The 4,216-nt window shown below is 38.3% G+C and overlaps 1 annotated feature.

Annotated features, from left to right (window-relative positions):
- Positions 3,550 to 4,005: a transcriptional cis regulatory region, noted in NCBI's record as "candidate enhancer chr7.3172 targeted for multiplex CRISPR interference". NCBI's record gives its function as "positively regulates CDK6 gene expression with high confidence in K562 cells {active_cell/tissue: K562}" and the evidence as "EXISTENCE:mutant phenotype evidence [ECO:0000015][PMID:30612741]".

The raw sequence follows: 4,216 nt of genomic DNA on the forward strand, positions 1-4,216 counted from the left end.
CCTTAATATGTATCTTCAACCTGGAAAAAAATTGTGGATTAAAAATGCTATATTCAGTGGCTGATAAGACATCTCTGGCTGATGCACTGACATCTCAAGTTTGGCTTCTGCATACATGATTTTTTCACTCTCTCAAACTATCTCTTCTTCCTTTATTTCCCATCTCGGGGTTTAATGGCTCCACCATTCAGTTTCTGAAGCCAGAAATGGTGGCATCTTCAGTTATCTCTACCTGCCTACTCACCATCTTTATTCCTTATGCTTACTCCGCATTTAATTGCACTCCCAATTTTTGGAGTTGTGTTTTCTAAGTGTTTGTGAAATATTTGTTTTTCTCTCCATCCTTATTGTCATTGCCTTGGTTTTGGCTTTGGTAAGTCCTTGCTTGTGCTACTGTAATAGTCTTCTGGCATCCAGTTTCACCTCTTCTAATCTGTTCCAACGGTCACAAGGGTGAATTTTGAAAACTGAAATCTTGTTCTGTTCCTTTTTTTTCATTTTTAATGGCCATTAAAAATGGTCTTCAGAATAAAATATAAATTTGTCAGCATTGCATGCAAGGCATTCCATGATCCAGCCTCTATCTACTTACCACACTAACTTCCTACTAAAAATTTCTTTGGCGTTATTGATCCTCTTGGAGTTCCCTTATATATTCTTGTTCTCTCTTACTTCTAATTGTTTGCATAAATGACTACCTCTGCTAGTAATGTCCTTCTTCCCTTTCTCCCCAAGTCTGTGAAGACTCCACTTAAACCTCATATTCCATTAAAGTACCTTTTAATTTCTCTGCCTCTCCAATTTTACATCTGTTGCCCCTGCTAAGTATTCCTTCTCTGTACTACCGTACTGTCCCAAGCATTATCACTCTACACTTTCATAATCACATTTTTTATCTGTTCCCACATAAGCCTATAAATTCCCTAAGTATAGGAACTGCATCTGGTTCTCTCCCCTGCTAGAACACTACTTGACACATGATAACAACTAACAAATATTTGTTGTCTGATTTAATAGCCACCAAAGATATTTCAAAATAATTCTCTCCCATAGTGTATATCTCAAATTGATTTTTTGTTTAGCAGAAGAAGCAATCTGCTTTGCTAGAAAAAGTATCTATGCTAAAAGCAAGAAATATTGTACCTGGATTTTCATAGCAGCATATTCATAATGGCCAAAAAGTAGAAACAACTCAAATATTCATCAACTGATATTTATGATATTAACATACAATGAATACTATTCAGCCATAAGAAGGAATGAAGAACATTCATTCCTTCATACGTAATAGAACATATTTGTAATACAACATAGATGAACCTCAAAAACATACTAAATGAAAGCAATTCACAAAAGACTACATATTGTATGATTCCATTTATATGAAAGTCCATGATGGAGAAATCTATAGAAATAGAAAATGAATTGATATTTGCTTGGGCTTTGGGTGAGTAGCAAAGGGAGGATGGAGAAATAGTGAGGTTGATAAAATTGATGGTGATAGTTGTATCTTTCTGTAAATATACTAAAAACTGCTGAATTATATACTTTACATGGGTAAATTACAGGGTATATGGATTACCTCTCAGAAAACCGAAGCCAGTGGCCAGTATTTTACTTCTCTCCACACCAGTCTGGGCACCAGTCATGAACCAATGCAGGACCAAGGTCTTGGTAGTGCTTGGGATGGAAATGGCCCTAAAAAATCTGGCTAAATTAGCCTAAGACTAACCCGGTATATGCTCAAGAGGCCAGATCTATCACAGCAGGTGTGGGAACAGGTGTTAGTAGGCAATGCTTTAGGAGTTCTGGACCAAGTGCACTCAAGAGAACAAGTAAACTGTTCCTGTCATTTGCCTGGCCAGCTCAGGAAAGGTTCCAAGTAGTTCTTTCTTGTGTCCTTCTGGAATGGAGAAGACTTGGGGTTTGGTTGGTTTTCTTGGGTCACTTTATGATGGGACAGGCACCTTCTGAAAGAAACTAAGAATGATGATAAAATGCTACCTGCTTAGCTTTTTTTTGTTTTTTCTTGCATCTAGTATCTGAGGCCTCTGAAACCATTAAAGTCAGAAGGAAGAAACTTAAAGGAAAATAGAAAGATTGTAACTTCATCACCTGGATTCTGGTGCACAACATTCCACTTGGAAATGTTTTATTGAGCACCCGCTCTAAATTCCGGGCTGTGACTTATCAATTTGGTTTTGTTATTGTTGTTCTTGTTAAATGAATGAATATAAATTTATTCAAAAGTAGAAAATAATTCTTAATTACTATCTTAATCAATAATTGAAAGCATCCAAAATCAACAATAGAACTTTGGTAGAATTTAACTACAGGCAAATTCTTCCCAGTGAAGTGGAAGTCTATTCACTGAAACAGGGTATTAAAAGACAGTAAGTCTGAAGAAAAAGTTTTGCTCCATATATGACAAACAAATGATTCTTCTTAGGCAAACATCTTATGTATTGATTATTTAAAATTATATAAAAATTAAAAATAGCTAAAGGTTAAGTTATTCAAATAAAAATCTTGGATATCATTAGTAATAAAATGTGGCAAGTACAAATGACAAAAAAATACTACTTTTCCTGTTAACTTTTTATGAATTGGGTTCTGAAGGTGGCATAAGAGTTTTATCTACCCATGTATCTATTGGATGGGTTGAGTGTGAATTAACTTAGGGGACAAACGGGTAAGGGTCTAAGAGAAGGGTACTCTAGAGGCTTGAGGTAGCACATTGTGCTCAGAGATATGTGAAAAGTTCGGCACTGCTGGAGTTTACAATGAAAGAAGAAGGAGAAGAGTGTAGAGTGAAGCAAGGTGTTAAAGCAAACTAAACATGGCCTGAGAAGGACTCCATACTTCTATATTTGAGTCCTTGTGGACAAACTGTATCCTACCTTAATACACAGACCAGATTTAAAACCTAACTTAGAAGTATGTGCCTGTAACAATAGCTGAGTCTTGGCGGATCCCAGCGGCCATACTTCAACCACTTATAGACTGCTGAGTGTTCAAACTGTGCTCAAACAAGGCAAACGTCAGCCTGTAACCAATCCAGTACGTCACTTGCTTTTTTTCATCTATAAATTTGTTCTCACCACGAGGCATCCCTGGAGTCTCTGAATCTGCTGTGATTCTGGGGTCTGCCCGATTTGCCAATTGTTCATTGCTCAATTAAACTCCTTTGAATGTAATTTGGCCGAAGTTTTCCTTTTAACAAAAGTAAACAAGAAGAGTCAAGATTATGGAGGACATTGGGCAGGAAATGGTGAAGAACTTTGACTGTATCTTGAGGATGATCAGGAGTGACTGAAAGGCTTTCTATAGGGAAATCCCAGTCAGAATAGAGTTTTGGCAAGAGTAATCTGACCATGATATGGAAGGTGGACAGCAGGTAGAGTGAGGCTGAAGATAGGATGGCCACTCAAGAACTATGGGGTGGTCTAGTGAGATGCGGAACTTGAAGCCAGCCAAGAAAGTGGGGCTGGAGAGGAGAGCAAATGTGCAACAAGCAGTGTCTACAGCACCACCCCCTCAGTTTACAGAGTTTACATTCAAAGGAAAACACCGCAAAAGACACACTTAGCCTCTTCAGTTTTAACATAGGTTCATCCTCAAGTGAAGGTGTTTTTTTGTTCCTACTGCATAACTGTAGGAAGGAGACTGTTAGTCCAGAGCTGGGTGTAGCATGTGGTCAGTAAAATTCTCTGGGCTGCTTTCTGCATGTCACGATGGTTAACTGGTCCTCACCCTGGCTGTAGGTGTCTGATAATACAAGGATTTGGACCCAAGTTGTAGGTAGCTCCTATCTTAAGGCTCCTGCTCAGACCCTAAGGGAGTTTCCTGGAAACCCTGAGCTCTGTTGCTATAGGGAATTGGCTCTACTCTAAGTGGCAACCAGGGAGAGTCTTGGGCTCTGAGGAGAAAAGAACTTTGCAAGTCTCAAGAAAGATTGAGTGATTCTTTAAGTTCTCATTTGGAATTTATTTTCGCCTTTCTAAGAATGCAATACATCTGGTTATTGACCTTTTAATATGTTCTGCATAGAATGAGGCTAATAAATATGGGTTATAGCTTACCACCTTCATTACCCTCCTCATAAGCCCACTTTTTATTTATTTATTTTTTTTGAGATAGAGTCTTGCCCTATTGCCCAGGCTGCAGTGCAATGGCATGATCTTGGCTCACTGCAACCTCCGCCTCCCGGGTTCAA

Source organism: Homo sapiens, chromosome 7 (assembly GCF_000001405.40).
Source record: "Homo sapiens chromosome 7, GRCh38.p14 Primary Assembly".
NCBI classification, from domain to species: domain Eukaryota; kingdom Metazoa; phylum Chordata; class Mammalia; order Primates; family Hominidae; genus Homo; species Homo sapiens.